Raw genomic sequence first — 18245 nt, forward strand, 5'->3', positions numbered from 1 at the left:
TGAGCCACCACACTCAGCCTATTTTATTTTATTTTAATCAGTTATAGAACAGCTCACATTTTCTGTCTCTTCTTGAGTCAGTTTCATAAGTTTCTGTCTTTCTAGGAATTTGTCCATTTCAATTGATATACAATTGTTTATAGTATTCCCTGTAATTCATTTTGTTTATGTAAATGTAACAGCAATTTTCCCTTTTAATTCTGATTTTGTAATTTGAGTCTTATATCTCATTCTCTTAGTAAATCTAGCTAATTTTTTTTCAATTTTGTTGATTTTTTAAATAACCAACTTTTGGTATTATTTTCTTTTCCTCTCTATTGTCTATGTCAATAAATTCTGCTCTGACCTTTACTATTGCCTTTCTTCTGCAAGCTTTAGATTTAGTTTGCTGTTTTATCTTTGCAATTGATTATCTATCTGTCTATCTATCTAGCTAGCTAGCTATCTATGCATTTGCAGATTTAAATAGTCACATCTAAGTACTGCTTTAGTTGCATTCCATAATATTTTGTATATTGGGTCTTTATTTCCACTTAAAGCATTTTTAAAGTTTTCTGTCATATATTCTTTTATTGGTTACTTAAGAGTATGTTTTTTCGTTTCCACTTACTTATTAATTTCTCTAAAACCCTTTAGATACTGATTTCTAATTTAATTCCATTCTTGTCAGGAATGTGTTTTACATGAATTCAATCCTTTTAAATATACTGAGGTTTGGACTGGGCACGGTGGCTCATGCCTGTAATCCCAGCACTTTGGGAGGCTGAGGTGGGTGGGTCACCTGAGGTCAGGAGTTTATGACCAGCCTGGCCAACATGGTGAAACCCCATCTCTACTAGAAATACAAAAAATTAGCTGGGCATGGTGGCAGGTGCCTACAATCTCAGCTACCCAAGATCGTGCCATTGCATTCCAGCCTGGGCAACAAGAGTGAAACTCTGTCTCAAAAAAAAAAAAAAAAAAGTACTGAGATTTGCTTTATGATCTAGCATATAGCTTATCCTTGATAATACTTCATATGCATTTGAAAATAATTATATTCTGTTGTTGAATAAAGTGTTCTACAGATGTCCCTTAGGCCTAATTAGTTTATAAAGTTGTTTATGTCTTCTACTTTCTGGTTGGTCTTGTAATGAGTGGAACTTTCATTATTGAAAGTGAGGTATATGCCAAGCACAGTGGCTTACACTTGTAATCCCAGCACTTTGGGAGGCCAAGGCGGGTGGATCACTTGAGGTCCGGACCAGCCTGGTCAACATAGTGAAAACCCATCTCTACTAACATACAAAAATTAGCCGGGCGTGGTGGCAGGTGCCTGTAATCCCAATTACTCGAGAGGATGAGGCAGGGGAATCACTTGAACCCAGAGGTGGAGGTTGCAGTGAGCTGAGATCACGCCACTGCACTACACTCCAGCCTGGGTGACAGAGCAATACTCCCTCAAAAAAAAAAAAAAAAGTGAGGTACTGAAGTCTCCAACTGTTATGTTTAAATAGCCTATTTATTCAGATTGAAACAATCTGTCATTTTTTGCTTCATGTATTTGGAAGCTGTGTTTTTAGGTGCATGTACATTGACAATTGTATCTTCCTGAATGACTCACCTTTTTACTACTGAAAGTGTCCCTCTTTATCTCTAGTAATATTTTTTATATAAATTCTATTATTTCTGATATTATTATAGTCGTCCCACCTTTCTGATGGTTGCTCTTTGCATAATATATCTTTTCCATCCTTTTACTTTCGAACTATTTGTACATTTGAATCTAAAATGCATCTTTAGACACTATAGTTGAATCATGTCTGTTTTTTCATCCTCTCGTACAACTTCTGCCTTTTATTTGAATTGTTTTATCTACTCACATTTAATGTTATTTTTGATATATTTGAATTTCTATTTTTCATTTTAATATTTTGCTTGTTTTTGTCTTAGCTCTTTTGGTTCCTCAATTCTTCCTTTTCTCCTGCCTTTTACCTTAAGTTAATATTTTTATTTTAATATTTTAATTTTTTAAATTTTTTTTCTCAATTTTGAGTTATTTCTTAATGGTTTAGAGCTTACCAGATAAATATTATCACAATCTACTTTACCTTTGTAATAAATTAATTCAAGTGAGGTATAAAAACATTAGCCCTTTACAGTGTTATTCCTTCTCCCCTTTTTCTACTATAATTGTTAGCATATTATAACACATCTGCATATGTTACAATTTCAACAACATTGTTTTAATTATTACTTTTTGTAATTTTATGCATTTTAAAGCCGTAAAGAGAAAAAAACGAGAGCAACTATGTACATATAGTAGGGTACTTTGTTCCTTTCTTTTTCTGACCACATCCAACTATTACATTCCAGTAATTGCCAGCTGATTGATCTTTTATTTTCAACAACACCCTGTGGCATAACTTGTTCTACAGTCTATTTGGCATCCTTTACAAGGGTAGTTTTTGAGCTCAGTTTTCTGCTTTTTTGACCTCAGGAGAACTCTCTTAGCTATTCCTGATTCTCTCTGGATAACTAGAGATGCTGATGGTTTAACTGGCTTATTTTCAAATTTTTCATTTTTTTTTTCTGACAGTGCCCTTATGCCTAAAATTCCCCTTACCTTGTTTAGATAAGTTTAGATTCTTAGTAAAGAACTTCTGAGCTCTCTGTTTTATGGCCTACCTTTCTCTTTGGTCCAAATATCTGAGTCACAGCTCTGGTCCTTAGGTTGGGGACAATTGAAAACTTTCTAATTGACACCTCTACTTTTGCAGGTTACCGGGCCCCTATAGTCTTCTAGTTTTGCCTCTTCCTGCATGGAAACTTGCTGCATGCCTGCACTATGATGAGGGCAATGAGGGCTCCAGGATTCTCACCCTTCCACTCCTGGGGTAAAATCTCTCCTCTGTGAGTTGGAGTTGCATGGAAGAAGAGAATTTCCAACCTTTCTGTTACACTAGCCTCTGAAACTCAGAGTTGGAGATGGAAGGAATTTTGAAATTCCTGCCCCTCTGTGGAGGATACCTTAGCCCTTGACTGAGAGTTGCCTGCAGAGGGGGTCCTTTGTTCATGGCTGTGCCTACTTGAAGTGAAGGTTCTATTATGCTGATCTGGAAGAAAGGGAGAGATCTGGCCAAGGTTAGAATGCCACAGACTCTCTTAATTTACTGAGTTTAGTAGATTCTCTTGAGTAAATGTTACTTAACTTTCTGTAAGCCCTAATGACAATTTCAAGAGATTTTGAGTGGTTGATTTTAAAATAATTTTCACCAATTATGCTTTTTATCACTGGAGAGTGTATCAGCAGAGCTCCTCACTTGTCATTTCAGAACTAGAACTCTGGAACCTTCTAAAGTGAAGAAAATGTGACATATCTTAATTTGGATGGCAATTACAAAGTTTTATAAATTTATAAATTCAATAAATTATAAATATAAGATTTTTGTATTTCTCTATGTATTAATTATACATCAATTTAAAAATCTGCAGTATTTATATGAAGACTGATAAAATTCTACTCTAAAACCAACAAAAAGGTCTTAAATACCAAAAAATCCACTATGATCTTGGTTGATTGATCAGTGAGGCTCCAAACAGGAAAAGAGAAGTCACCTTAAACATACAAAACAAGGGGAATTTAAAATAGGGAATTGGTCATCCAAGTGATATAAATGCTGAGAAGCCAAACAGGAAACTACAAAGCAAACAAAAGCTTTAAGTTTATTTTGTCTCTAGACTGGAAGGAGATGGTTCCAGGATGGAAGCTGGGAACACAATGGGCTTTTGCGACTGTAGTTGGAGCCGGGAGGATATACGATCTTTGCCAGACACATAATCTAAGACAGAGAGATGACAAATATATTAGCTTTTCTCTTCCTCCCACTGCCCAGTTTTCCACCAGAACCTCCCAATGGCAGATTCCAGAAAGAAGCCAGTTAAAATAGAAGCTTAGGGCACATAGCCTGGAGGGATTGGTTCTACAGAAAAGAGTAGGAAAAGGGGTCGATATCCAAAATGTATAAAGAACTCCTACAATTTAACAACCAAAAATCACATAACCACATTAAAAAATGGGCAAAAGACTTGAAAAGACATTTGTCCGAAGATGATATACAAACAAAGATATATTGAATGCAGACAAAGTTTATTGATTAAGTTTTCTGTCCTATATGGATATGGTTTGTGGGCACTCCAAAATAATTACAATAGTGACATTAAAGATTACTGATTACAGATCACCATAACAGTTATACTAACAAGGGCAAGGTTTGAAATATTGCAAGAAGTAGCAAAACATGACACAGATACACAAAGAGAGCACATGCTGTTGATAAAGTGGCACGGATAGACTTGCTCAACACAGGGTTGCCACAAACCTTAAATATGTAAGCAACGCAACATTTGTGAAGTACAATAAAGTGAGGTGTAATAAAATAAGGTATGTCTATAGATTATTACCTTTCTTCAAAGAAGATGAAAGGAAAACCCATGCAATTGTAGAACTTTTGTTGCAAGTGACAAAACGTCTGCTGGATGATCAATTTTCTCTTTAAGTATTAATAAAAGTGAACCTGAGTTCACTTAAAATAAATTTTCCCAAAGAAGCTTCCAGCTCACTTTTATGTTCTAAATGGTAGTTGTTTGGCATAAACACAACGGTCTAAATGGATGGTGACAGGCAACACATTTGATGGACAAGCGCTGAGGGAAGAGATCAAACATAAATTCTACAAAGCAGTGTTAGCACACCATATACATAATAAACAAGTGCAAATGAAAAGAAAGCTCATGAATAATAGATGAGGGATACATTGAACATATTAAAATATGCATTATCTGGATGGCTGATGGATTTCAGATGGAATAGGTCCAAAGGACAGGTGAGTGAAAGGTGAGGTCAAACTAGAGAAGCTGATTAAGTGATATGGGGAGAAGCTTCCCAAATGGAAGCTCTTGAAAGATTTTAATTGTACATAGCTAAATTAGCTAGCCAGGTGAAGAGTGTACAACATGAATAGTACACTAATAAGCAAATGTATAAACAGTAGTGGAGGCGGTAGAGGAGAAGAAGGAGGAGGTAGATAAAAGGGGAAAAAATAAAACATAAGAAAGTTAGGGAATACAAATGTAAACAGGCAGGCATTGCAAATGCAAACCATTAAGATTCAGGTGAAATGAAAGCAGTGTACTGTCCTTTAACAGGAGACAAATGGCTATGGGGGTGCTGGCTAAGAGCTTATAACTGAAGAATTTAGTTGGCTTCACTACCTTGCAGATTCTAAAGAAGCAAAACATATGTGAGTGAAAATGTAGCCAAAAATTCTTAATCAGAATTCAAGGCAGAGATATTTGTTGTTCTAGTGAGACAGAAGCAGTTCTCAAAGGCTTTTGTTATTCACCTTTTTAAGAAAAAAACTGAGTATAGTAACCAAAGGTTCTTTATTTTGCATATTAAAATGATAAATGATTTCTCATAAATGAATTTTCCAGATTATGCCAATCTTTTTTATTTAAATACCACTTTTTTAAAAAATCAAAAGTTTTGATAACAAAAATGAAAAATATATTTATGCACATACCATTCTTCTCCACTTCTGGGAAATATTTTCAATGGTTTTTTTTCCTTTCATAAAGTTTCACTATGACCTTCTTTCATTATTATAGTAAAAACAATTGTGGTAATATTTTTGTATGCAATATTATATTATACATACTATATGTTAGTTTAAACACTGTCATGGTTCTCATTTTCAAAAAGTAAATACTGTTTATATGAGCTCACATTTTTGTAGCTCAGTTTGCTAGGGTTTGGAGTCAATATATATACAAGAGTATTTCAGTTCTTTGTTTTCTCACATCAAAATTTTAGCGTATTTTATATTGCCTTTCTATAACCCTGTAAAAAGTGCCAAACAAATGGTCAGAGTCAGGCTCCCAGGTTGGATAGAGGGAAGATGATGGTTTTTTCTATAGGAAGAGCATTGAGAAAAACCTATAGAAAGGTTTTTCTGAGTACTTTCTATTTGTCAGACATGTTGTTAAATATTGACCAGAATTATCTCCTTTAATCTGCCAAAACAAAAAATGTAATCTTTGAGTCTGCTGCTATAATTAACCTCCATTTTATGGAAGAAAAAAAAATGAACCATAGAAGTTATAAATTACATGTAAGTTCACAGAGCTGGTCAATAAAAGAGCAGGAAACAGACAGAACGTCACTTCAGAACTGCCTTCTCGACTGATGGACTTCCACCGATTAACATTTGGGTTGCTTCTACCTCTATTCTATTTTGATTAACAATGTTATTTATATTTATGGGGTACAAAGTGGTGTTGTAATTTTTAATATAATGAAATAAGATTACATTTAGCTAATTAACATACCACCTCAAATATTTTAATTTTTTTGTCATGAAAACATGAGATATTTACTCTCTCAGCAATATTGAAATGTACAGCTCTATTCACCATGCTGTGCAATTGATATTTTTAAATATCAAACTTATTTCTCCTGTCTAATAAGGCTTTGTACCCTTTGACTATCATCTCTCCATTCCCCCTACCCCCAGTCTCTGGTAACCACCATTCTACTCTCTGCATCTATAAGTTCAATTGTTTTAGATTCATTGTGGTTTTTATTTGCGTGTCACTAATTACTTTATGATTGATGATATTGAACATCTTTTGATATGCTCATTTATGGGGCTTCAGGAAAGAAGCCATCATTGTAATATGAAAGTGCAAGGTGAAGTAGCAAGTGCTGATGTAGAAGCTGCAGCAAGTTATCCAGAAGATCCAGCTAAGATAATAGATAAAGCTGGCTACACTAAAAAACAGATTTCAATGTAGATGAAATACCTTTCATTGGAAGAAGATGCCATCTAGGACTTTTGTAGCTAGAGAGGAGAAATGGATGTTTGGCTACAAAACTTCAAACAACAGTCTGACTCTCTTGTGAGGGACTCATGCAACTGGTGACTTTAAGGTGAAGGCAATGCTCATTTACCATTCTGAAAATTCTAGGGCCCTTAAGAATTAAGCTAAATCTACTCTCATATTTGTTTATAGCATGACTTACTGAATATTTTAAGCCCACTGTTGAGACCTGCTGCTCAGAAAAAAAGAATTCATGCTTCTCATTGGCAGTGAAACTAGTCATCCAAGAGCTCTGATGGAGATATACAAGGAGATAAATGTTTTCTTGTCTGCTAACACAACATCCATTCTACAGCCCATGGATCAAGGAGTAATTTCAAGTCTTACTATTTAAAAAAATACGTCTCCTGAGGTGATAGCTGTTATATATAGTAATTATTTTGATGGATCCGCAAAGAACATTGGATTTACCATTCTAGATGCCATTAAGAATATCTGTGATTCACAGGAAGAGGTCAAAATATAAACATTAATAGGAGTTGGTAGAAGTCAATTCCAACCCTCACGAATAACTTTCAGGGCTTAGAGGCTTTAGTGGAAGAAATAACTACAGATGTGATATAAATAGCAAAAGAGCTACATTTAGAGTGAAGCTTGAAGATGTGACTGAATTGTTGCAATCTTAGGATAAAATTTTAATGGATGAGGAGATGCTTCTCATGGGTAGTAAAGAAAGTCGTTTCTTAAAATGGAATGCACTCCTGATAAACATGCTATGAACACTGTTGAAATAAAAACAAAAGATTTAAAATATTACACAAACTTAGTTGATAAATCATTTTCAGGGTTAGAGAGGAGTGACTCCAATTTTGAAAGAAGTTTTACTGTGGGTAAAATGCTATCAAACAGCATCACATGATGCAGAGAAAGCTTTCATGAAAGGAATAATTAATCAATGTTGAAGGTCTCATTTTTTGTTATATTTAAGTAAATTGCCACTGCCACCCTGCTTTCAGTAACCACCACTCTGATCAGTCAACTGCCACCAATATCAAGACAATAACTTCCACCAGCAAAGAAATTATGAATATTTTAAGCCTGAAGGCTCCAATGATTGTTAGCATTTTTTAGCAATAAGGTATTTTTAAATTAAAGTACGCACATTTTTAAACATAATGCTATTCTGTACTTAATGGAGTATAGTATAGTGTGAATAAAACTTTTATATGCACTGGCCAAAAACTTTGTGTGACTCATTTTATTGTGACATTTGCTTTATCTCAATGGTCTGAATCCCTGAACCAAACCCACATTATCTCCAAGGTATGCCTGTATATGAATCCTTAAATTTATTAAGAGAGAAACTCCTCAGTCTAAACTACAGCAAACATTATCTTTAATCTGATCTTGCTGTTTTCCAAAACCACATGCCTACATCTAGAACATGAGGATTAGGAATCATTAAAGTAAAATATACATAAATTTTTAAAAACTTGCTTTAATATCAAGTATATTGCATATGAATACAAGAAACACTGGATTTCTGGGTGTGGAGGGAACCATATTTCAGAGAACACTCTTGCTCTTCACCAATCACCTTCATTTGCAATCACTTTTATCAGTTAATGAGGAGACATCAAATTTTGAATAAGGTGCCCCCGAATGAGAACTTGACATATCAACTGTTCTAGTGAGTCTTACCAGAGAAACAAACAAACAAATGAAAAGAATAATAATAGTTAAAGACCATATTGATCTGTTTACTGCTAAATAAGCATTAAGTTCCCCCAAAGGAGTATTTCACTTTTTACAATGCTCCTTGGACCATGTCTCTGACTATAAAATAAAGAATACTAACATTCTTGGGCTGTGTTTTGTATGAAAACAGCAGGCTTAGTATTTTACATAGATTTTCACCTCAGTAATTTATTTCAGATTTTTATAAGCATTTTTATTCCCAAGGTGGTACTTATGGCTTGAAATGTCGATTTAGAACTTTGGAATTTCCTGACCCAATATTTCAACCCTCCTGACACTGACCCCAGTGTCACAATTCCATTTTCTACTCATTATTCCTTAGTGTTCTATAGTTTGAAAAGCCTGTACACAGACCTCTCATCTGACTCTCTTAATAGCCTTGTGAGTTAAATAAGGCTTCATTTAACTTTATTTTACAACTGATGAGACTGAGGCATACTGAGATGAGATGCCATGGCTGCGAGGGTATGGTTGATGGGTGAGAGCCCAGGGCTTGAAAATCCAGTACCGGGCTTTTCATCGTTTCCTCTAGTGCTTCTTAAACCCTCACTCAACATGGTACCCTTCTCCATTCCCCTGTGAAACCTGCCCCATTTGTTCTGTCGTTCTGTTTATTGTATGCATACCAATCACATCAGCTCAACTAGTCTCTAGACTATTTTTTTTCCTTTTTGCCCAGCACAGAACAGAGAACAAAGTAGATTTATAAGTAGGATTTCTCAACTCTCTAAGTGAAATTAAATCTAACACCCAACAAGTCTTCCGTTGGCTGGCTTCATTTTCACATCTCTGCTACTTCCATTTGCTATATTTCCCCTTTTTTCCTCAGGTAAGTTAGAAGTTTGATGGTCCAAAGTGAAGAAAGAAAAATTCATCAAAATATAAGAAAAATTTTCAGCTGAATTTCCAAAATCAAATAAAACTTTAAAATTCCACCTTGAGTCTATAAGGATTCTAGACATCATGACCCATTGAATCAGGTTAGATCAAATCACACTGGTGCAAACACTGAAACATACCATGTTTCCCATCACAATTTGTGGTGTAATGGTAATAAGCCCAGTGATGGGCAGATTGCGTAGTTTGTCTCATCACATCCCACATCCCCTCCTAAGGGCTGACACATCCATGTCCAGGCTGCTGGCATGTCCACTGTGGACAGCTCAAAGATGCACAGTCCTGGTGGCAGGGATCTGCCTTGCCCAGGGGACAGCCAACAGCCTGAGACTGGCTGAAGCAGAAATACAAAGGCCCAGGCCATATTCTGACTGGGAAAATCTCTGCAAGACTGTCTCAGATCCACAGCTTCCTGTAGGATTCAGAGCCCTCAGCTGCAGCCTTATTGTGGTTCAGCTTCCCCCTGCCTTCTCCTTTTCCTTGCAGGTGTAATCTCCCAAGAGTTTTCTCCAATAAACCCTCTACAGGCAATGCCCAGTCTCAGAGCATGTTTCCAGGGAAACCAATCTAAGGCACTGTACAAAACAGTGTGAGAGTAATAAAAACAGCATGGCTACATAGATTTGAATAGTAATAAAGGCTTTTTTAGCTTCCTCAAAGTTGTTATATTATTATTCAGTGTCATTTTTTATGAACTTGTGTGTATATGGAGGATGGGGATACTCACAACAGCTTTCTGTTCCGATCCCATAATGATGAGCTTGGGTCCTAAGAGTAAACCTTATTATTTTTTCCTCCCTTTGTTTCCACTTAAGATGTCAATAAAACTCAAGTATATACAATAACTTAGGTGAGCTAATAGCACGACTCATGAACTCTGAGACTCAGCCTTCCTGAGTGAGGTTGCCTACTGGAGGACCTTGAGGTGTTCCTTGGAGATTATCAGCAGTAGGTCACTCAATGAACTTTGTCAGTGCCTTTTGTAATGTTCATACTAGGATTTCAGAGTGCAAACACATAAATGCTTCTAATTTATAACAGTAGGAATATAGTTAGCTATTTGTTTTACCCTACTTATTTCATTAAAGGAGATTTTATTTTTCTTCAAAAACATGAGTACTTCGTTTTCTTTGAATTTTGCTATGTTAACTGACAGGCTACTTTGCCCTTGGAAGACAAACAGGAGAAAAGAACCAATGTTTGTTAAGCATGTACTCACCATGTAAAACAAGGAAAGCAGGGCTTAAAGAAGTTAAACAATAGTAACTAGATTAACAGCTGTGCTCTTTCCTGACACAGGGAGCCTCCCAGAGATACTACCCAGCCGACTGCCCACCCTCTCCTGTGTGCCCATCACACCTCCCACTGCCCTTGTTGTAGCAATGCTTGCTGCATCATGTTAAGCTGTGATCTGTTTCTAGGCCTCGGTTCCAGCTGTTCTGGATGCCTAGAAATCCATTCTCCATACTTTGCAGCATGATCTCTCTTTATTAAAGCATGAAATAGAAGTTAAAATTGCAAATATCATTTAATCTGTTATGTAATCAATGTAGTGACTCTTCCAAAAGAACTCAACTCACTTCTCTTTGTTTGAGAGTGTGACAACTTTAAAATTAAAAAGTAAAATTAAGATGAAGAACATTTTAAGATTTACCTAGATGAAGGAGAGAAAAAACATTCAATGACACCTATCATCTGACCCTTCATAGGTAGCTATTATTAACAGTTAGCTATATATACCTTTGCCTGGCTACTTTCAAAACAGAGCAAGTGGGCGCCACTTTTACCAGTAAGCTTTCCCACAGCCTAAATTTTACGTTCTCCTGGGTTCCCATTTTCAGCTGTGCACAATTCTATCTTATTTCATACTGTAATATATTGACAGCAAAGATTTCCAGAATACTGACATTGAAAAATCAAGGCTGAGACCATGCACTATTCATTTTTATGTCCCATGAATTGGGCAAAGCTCTAAGCTCATAGTAGATGATTACTAAATGCCCATATAACTAAAGTGAGTTGATGTGAAAAGCTTTAGTCTGTGCAGTTTGAGTTGGGGAAATTTGGGTTAAAAGCTCATGAGAAAGATTGCCAAAATCTCCGTGAATTCACTTGCCTCGTAAGCCAGTCAGAGTCCCAGTCCTGTGATCACTATTGTCATCAAAGAAAAGGTGCATGGGAAAAAGACACAAGAAATCAGGGCAACAATTCAGGATTTTTTTTTTAAAAAAAGGTTAGAGAGGAAATGTAGAAGGACATTGGATCCTTGAGAACAATTAATTACATCTTCAACCATCTTGCTTTCCATAGTAACAGCCAAGTTCGAGCAGCCTTCGCAGGTCTTCTTTACCTCCATGATCAAGTACTGACACTCCCACTGACTATTCCAAGCTGTTGCCTATTTTTTCAACCTATTGATACCTCTTTTACAAACCCAGAGCTGGCATGGTCTTGCACACCTACTTCACTCATGCTGTTTCGGTTCCTTGAAATGCCCTATCCAATGGCTCAAATTCCTGCTTCAAAATCCAAATCAAATTTTACTTCATTTGGGAAAGTGAATATTCTGTTGTAGCCTTTTCCTGCTGCTATAATAAAATGCCACAGATTAGGTAATTTATAAACAGCATAAATGTATTGCACATGGTTATGAAGCCTAGGAAGCCCTAGATCAAGGCATCAATGGGTTCAATGTTTGGTGAGGTTCTGGTTTCTATATCCAGGATGGAACCTTGAATGTTGCATTCTCCAGAGGGGAGAAATGCTGTGTCCTCACATAGCAGAAGGGAGATAAGGGCAAAAGAGACTAGGGGATTCCCTTCAGCTTCTATTATAAACTCATTAATCTCATTCATGAGAGCTTTGCCTCATGACTTAATCACCTTCTAAACACTGTACTTCTTAATACTATCACAGTTTCAACATATGTATTTTGGGGGACACATTCTGAGCAAACCACTGACATTTTATATATTTATTACATATATCTTGCTAAAAATAAATGTTAATTTTTTGCATTAGTAATAATGTTTCCTGTATGTGTGTCTATCACTCTGCACATCTGTCTTCCAAATTTGGTTATAAATCTCTTGAGGGCAAGATCACTTCCTCTATTTGTGCATTTCCCAGCTGTCTCAACACAGTACCTTGTAATAGTGTATATTCCCTGCTTGGTTGGCTCAGCTTACCCGAAGGGCTCATTTCAAATTAGTTCATTTTCAAATCGGCCTAATTTTGCTGATCCTTCCTTTCCCTTTAAACCTTAAAGTTCAAGTTCCCTAGGGCTCAGTCCATGCTTGGTTCTTTTCCTTTTTCTATTTACAAGCACTCCCTTTGTGGTCTCATTTCATATCATGGTTTAATTGTCATGAAGATGCCAGTTTCTCCCAAGTTTATATTTCTACTCAGACCTCTCTCCTGGCATCTGGATTCATGTTTTCTATTGCTTTCTTGGCACTCCTTGCAAACACTTGATAGATACTTCAATAGCATGTGTCCAAAACTGGGTTCTTGATGCTCTTTCAAAGATGATTAATCTATGACCTTTCTCATTTTAGTAAGCAGTGAATCCATGCTTATAGTTGCCCAGGCCAACATGCTCAGAGTCATTTTTGTTTCCAGTCTTTATCACCCACCCTATAATAAAGTATCCTATCAACTCTATTTTCAAATATCTGAAATCTGAATACTTCCTCCACCTTTATTGCTACCACCAGATTCTGAACCTGTAGCATTTCCCACTTAGATGCAGCTATAGCCTCTTAAATGTTCTTTTATCCTTGTTTCCTTACAGTCTATTCTCAACACAGCATTCTTTTAAAGCACTAGATAAATCATGCTACTTCTATTTTCAACATTCTGCATTGGCCTCCCATTCTTTAGCAATGACAGCCAAAACCTTTACAATGGCCTACACAGCTTTACATGACCTGTGCCCTTGTCCTTGACTTCACCCCCAGCTCCCCCTGCCCACACACACATCCCTGGTACCTTCCAACATCAGTTATCTGTAACCCTCATTCAGCTCTAATCATACTGGACTCCTCACTGTCCCTCAGAAATGCCTCACGTATCTTGCATTGGCTGTTGCCTTTACTTGGAAATATCACCTCCAAGATATCATTATTACTAACTTTGCATCCCCAAAGTGTGTGCGCCAATGACCTCATCCCAATAAGCCATATCTTGACCAACTTATTTAAAATTGCAGTCAGTCCCTTCATCTAGCACTCCAAACTGTCTTTATGCTGTTCTATTTTTTTCTTTTTTCTCCATAGCGTGTATCACCCTCTAACACACTTCACAATTCCCAATTTATTGTATTCTTTATTGTATTCATTCTTCATTATTTGTTTTGCTCCTAGACTGTAAGTCATTGACATTTTGTTCAATTACGTATCCTAAGAATCTGTAACCATGGCTAGCACCCAGTACATACTTAAGATAAATTTTTGAATGAATAAAATAATAAAATAAGTTATATGAGCTTTGTATCCACTACCATTTCTCTTAAATATGTTCCTGCTACCTGTGAAACAGAAATTGGCTTAATTATGTTCAAGTGTGTCTAGTAAATCTCTTTGCAAAGTCAGTATGGTAGTTACATTTGGTTCTGCTTTAGTGGAGCTCTGTTCCTAGTGAGGAGAAAGACATACATATAAGGAACAGAGCATAAGGAGTGTGCAAGTAAATAGGTGTGAGCAATGACATATAGAAAATGATGGTTAATTTAAATCATGAATACTGACAGGAGAGCATGTAGCATCTAGGTAGCATCTAGGATAAACCAATTTTGACAGTATAGAAGACAGAGGATGGAATTTCTATGGAAGGAGATGGCATGATTGAAGACTCACATGAAGAACACCTAATGTGGTTATGTGGGGAGTTTTTAGTTGAAAACACAGCAGAATGGGGCATATATGATAAGCCCTCTATTCCATGCTAAGGCACTTGTGGATGTGGTTAAGTCCTCTATTCCATGCTAAGGCATTTGAGACTTCCTCTGTAGACATTTAAGGAAAACTGAATGTTTTCAGAATTAGGGCTGAGAGCAGACGTTTTTTATTCAAGAAAATACAGGGCTTGAGCTCACTAACCTGACACCAGGAGTGAAATCTGTGCTCATGGCACCCTCATGCTGCGTTAGCAAGTTTGTCCTGTTAAATTGGATTTACATCCTTTGACTTTATATCCTTCATTTGAATCTGGGAATAGTCTATGATTATGTGGTCTTAATATAAACTGCAGTCTTAGGTTTGTTAATTAAAGAAACAAATTTGTTATGAGAAGACATGAAAATATTATCACATATAAACACCCTATTGTATGGGTCAGAGGTATTGCAGAATTTTTTTTCCTCACTTCATAGTTGCCCACTAATTAGTTTTCATCTTGATAAGAAATTACTATCCCTCAGGCCCCTAGAAATAATTCCAATTAAGCATCACATAATGCCAATTTAAAAACTTGGAAACTGGTCTAGGTACGCTTTGACTCAGACTGGGTTTCCCTCACTGCCACAGGGATACACAGAGCTTTAGGGGAACTCGTGTGCCCTGACAATCTGTTTCCTGGTTTCAAGGCCCTTGAAGAAGGGCCTTCAAGGCAGAAAGAAGAGCAGTTTTTGAGAAGATGGTAGATTAGGCCAGCTGTCAGGCCCCTGTGAAAACAAGCTGTACAAAAGAGTTGTGGGCTGTGGAAAACTAAACAGGCAGATTCAAATTAGCTTATGCATATTTATTCACATCAAAAATGGTGCACTTCTCTGCAGGCAGTGCAGAGTGCTGAGGGAATCTCTGTGTGGCACAGGCCTGTCACTCCTTCACTCCTTGGAAGTTGAGCTTGTAGTGTGACAGGCAGTATCACCATGTACATAAGAACAAAGTTCAGTGTGTCATAGGTAGGCTGATTGATTATTTATTTGGCATCGTGTTTTATTATCTTCACAATTGCCATTGAAATCATCCTAAAGCAAGTCATTCACTGTCAAATAACTTTTCTCCCCTCAGGACAGATTTTAATTTTCAACTCTCATAGAAGGGGAAAAAGAAGATTTTATAATCACTAGTTGAATAAACAAGACTGAGTAAATCATAGTCTGAGACCCTTCTCATGTACATTTTAATCAAAAAGCAAGCATTAAACACATATCAAAAGGATAAAGAGAGACATGAAAGTGCAAATGGGCTGTGAAACCTGTTTTGGGTGGAAAGCCAGTCTCATGGGGGCAACTAGTGAGTGTTGGGCTGGGGAGGGAGTTGGTGGCTTGTAGGCATGTGAGCAGCAAGTGCCAGTCTAATCTTTTTTCTATCTGGGAACCTTGTTTGCCTCATGAGTCATCAACATTTGTTATTACTAAAATAGTGCCCAAGGTAGACATGTGAAGATCTCCATCTCACTTCTTTTTCTTTTCAATTTCATACTCTCCCTTGGATGATCTGATTCTCTTCCATTGCACCTTTGGGAGGTGATTAGGTCATGAGGGTGGAGTCCTCATGGATGAGATTAGTGCCTTCATGAAAGAGACCTCAGAGAGCTGCCTTGTCCTTTCCACCATGTGAGGACACTGCAAGAGGATGCTGTCTATGAATCAGAAAGCAGTCCTTCACCAAACACCAAATTTGCTGGCCACTTGATCATGAACTTCTCATCCTCCAGAACTGTAAGGAATAAATTTTTCTTGTTTATAAGGTATCCAATCTATGGTATTTTGTAATATCAGCCTGCACAAACCAAGACCCTAATCTAATCACAGCTAATGATTGACCACAAAATCCATGAGCATAATTCAATAATGGCTAAGATTCTGTACTAAATTCCAGACTTGTAAATCCCATCTTCTACTGTGACAGTTTCCCAGTCCCAGGCATTTCCAAATTACTGTGAACATAGATGGACTCATCATGAATGCCTTTTCTGGCATTCCTAAGCTTCTCTGTGATCAATGACTACGGGAACATGTAGGTACCATCATATTTGATTATCATTACAAAGTTGGGATTATAAACAGATATTTTATTCTGATTTACTGTTTATATTTCAATGTTTAATTTTAAGCAGAAGAAAGCACCATAGGCATAACTTTAAATGAAATATCATCATGTGATTCATATGGAGAAACAATATCAGTCTGATGAATTATATATTATTGCAAAAGTAAAATACTTCAGCTGTTTTACCATAATTATTTATTTACTAGTAATTTTATAAACCCTGAAGTAGTTAAATGGGGGAAAAGGTTGACAGTTAAATCAACGATTGTGAGTGTATGTTAGCTAGATAACTTTAGAAAAAACATTATGTTCCTTTTGAGCCAAATTTTTTTTTAACAAATTAAAAATAATATAGCATAGAATAATAAATAATCTTACAATGTAATGTGTATAGAATTAAATGGTGAACCGTAAGGTTCATAACTTTAACCAAAATAGCGTTGAGAAAATATTTTTCAATTATAGTTGTTTGATACCATGAACACCAAGAATCAAACAATTTTCAAAAACTATTTGGCAATTATTGTTATGAAAAAAATGTCAACTGTATTACCCCAAAATTTCACTATACATAATAGCACCAACCTCATTTATACTAGCACTAACAGTAAGCCATACTCATAGCTTGGAGTCATAATATTTAATCAAAAAGTTTGATGAAATGATTGTTAAAGAATTGTCAACCATTTTCAATAAAGACGAATAATTTTTTTTTAGTTTTTCTTAATGTATAAATGCTTGGTAAAGTCTTATTTCTAGAAAACATGCTTATGAAAATATGTCTTTATTTAATAATAATATGTGCTGGGCAAAAAAAAAAAGGAATTTATTCAGTGTGCCACTTTTGTCTCGTTGGATATTTGGGAGAGAAACAATGAAAAACATTTTTTACAAAAACTTTGGTGTGAATTAACAATTATACTTTTGGTAAATTTGTTTGGTGAAAGATTTCAGCATCTTAAGCAGCTAGCAACATAGTGACTACTTGAAGAAATATATATATATATAATTTGTTTGTTTGTTTGTTTGTTTTTGTTTTGTTTTGAGATAGAGTATCCCTCTGTTGCCCAGGCTGGAGTGCAGTGGTGCGATCTCGGCTCACTGCAACCTCTGCCTCCTAAATTCAAGCGATTCTCCTGCCTCAGCCTCCTGAGTAGCTGGGATTACAGGCGCCGGCCACCACGCCCGGCTAATTTTTGTATTTTTAGTAGAGACGGGCTTTCTCCATGTTGGCCAGGCTCGTCTTGAATTCCTGACCTCAAGTGATCCGCCTGCCTCGGCCTCCCAAAGTGCTGGGATTACAGGCTTGAGCCACCGTGCCTGGCCAGAAATATTTTTAGAATGGCAAAATGCACTATGCAATGATTATAACAACGGAACCAGGCTTTGAGTAGTTTAGGAATCTCAAGGAAGCAATATATATATTGCTTATAATATGACTATAAGCTATATATATATAGTGTGTGTGCATATATATGCATATATATGTATATATGTATATGTATCTATATGCATATATGTATATGTGTATATATATGCATATATATATAGTGTGAGTGTGTGTGTGTGTGTATATATATATACACACAGTCTTGTTTATTATTGCTATCTGGTCAAAGACAACCTACATGATGGAATCCAAAAGTTTGTAACCTTTCTTGTCACATACAAAATATTTAACCAGTAGGGAATGACAGCTATTAGATTTTTGACAGGCTGCTTAAGCAAAAGAAA

Source organism: Homo sapiens, chromosome 2 (genome assembly GCF_000001405.40).
Source record: "Homo sapiens chromosome 2, GRCh38.p14 Primary Assembly".
NCBI classification, from domain to species: Eukaryota; Metazoa; Chordata; class Mammalia; order Primates; family Hominidae; genus Homo; species Homo sapiens.